Here is a 1,506-nt window from a genome sequence, read left to right as displayed (position 1 = left end):
GGAGGGAGAGCACAGCAATTGTGAAGCATTGAACTCAATGCTGTCCTGTTAGAACAGGAAGGAAACAAGACAAAACTCAGCTGATGCCCACCCACGGAAGGAGCATTTAAACCAGCATTAGCCAGAGCGGAATCGCCAATCCCAGCAGTTGGAACTTGAGTTCCTGCAAACTTCACCACTGAAGGCCAAAGTGCCCTTGGTCTCTATGAACTTGAAAGGCAGTTTAGACCATAAGGACTGCAACTCTTAGCTAAGTCCTAGTGCTGAACTGGGCTGAGACAGTGGACTAGGGGGTACATGACATTTTGAGATACCTGCTGGAGCTGCTAAGGGAGTACTGGCATCACCCCTCCCCTAACCAAAAGCTGCACAGCTCACAGCTCAAAAAGAAACTCCTTCCTTCTGCTTGAGAAGAGGAGAGAGAAGAGTGAGGAGGACTTTGTATTGCATCTTGGATACCAGCTAAGCCACAGCTGGACAGGGCATCAATCAGAGTCGCAAGGGCACCATTCCAGGCCCTAGCTCTCAGATGACATTTCTAAACACACCCACAACCAGAAGGGAACCCACTGCCTTGAAGAGAAGGATGCAGTCCAGGGGCATTGGTCACCTTGGGCCCTGAATAACCAGCAGTGATACCCAGGTACTACAGTACAGGCCTTGGGTGAGCCCCTGAAACTAGCTGGCTTTAGGTGAGAATCAGCATATTACCAGCTGTGGCGGCTATGGGGCAAGATCCGTTCTGCCTGAGAAAAACAGAGGGAAAAGTAAAGGGGACTTTGTCTTGCACCTTAGGTAACAGCACGGCCACAGGGGGATAGAGCACCAAGTGGGCCTGTGGGATCGCCAATTCCAGAACTTGACCCTTGGATGGCATTTCTGGATCTGCGATGGGGAAGACAGGAGCCCATTGTCCTGAAAGGTGAGTCCTAGGTCAGGCAGAATTCATCACAAGCTGACTTAAGAGCCCTTAGGCCTTAAGGGAATATTGGTGGTAGTTTGGCAGCACTCCCTGTGGGCCTGTGGGAGCAGTAGCTATAAGGTGAGGCTCTCCTGCCTTTGGAAAGGAGAGGAAATGGTGGGCAGGAGTGCATCTTGTGGTTTGAGTGCCAGCTCAGCCACAGCACAAAAGAACACCAGGTAGATTTCTAAGGTTTTTGATTCTGTCTCTGACTCCTTGATGGCACCTCTGAACCTACGCGGGGCTGTCCTGGTTGGCTTTGCCACTTGCCAATTGCAGACCCCCAGGGCCTTGAGTAAACTTAAGCAGTAGCCAGGGAGTAGTTACAGCAGGCTCTGGGTGAGACCTAGTGCTGTGCCAGCTTCATGTCAGTTGTATTGGTAGTGGTGGTGACAGGGATGCTTGTATCACTCCACTCCCAGCTTTAGGTGTCTCAGAACAAACAGAGATGTCCGCTTTCATCAGCGTTTTTCAACACACTACTGGAATTCCGAGCTAGAGCAATCAGACAAGAGAAAGAAGTAAAGGGTGTCCAACTGGAATGA

General features: G+C 50.7%; 1 annotated feature.

Annotated features, from left to right (window-relative positions):
- Positions 478-1,188: an enhancer, noted in NCBI's record as "H3K27ac hESC enhancer chr14:44340454-44341164 (GRCh37/hg19 assembly coordinates)". NCBI's record gives its function as "activates a minimal SCP1, AML or CMV promoter by ChIP-STARR-seq in primed H9 embryonic stem cells {active_cell/tissue: H9 hESC(primed)}" and the evidence as "EXISTENCE:reporter gene assay evidence [ECO:0000049][PMID:30033119]".

This window comes from Homo sapiens, chromosome 14 (assembly GCF_000001405.40).
Source record: "Homo sapiens chromosome 14, GRCh38.p14 Primary Assembly".
NCBI classification, from domain to species: domain Eukaryota; kingdom Metazoa; phylum Chordata; class Mammalia; order Primates; family Hominidae; genus Homo; species Homo sapiens.
Note: the sequence above shows the minus strand (reverse complement) of the source record. Positions and strands in the feature narration are given on the sequence as shown.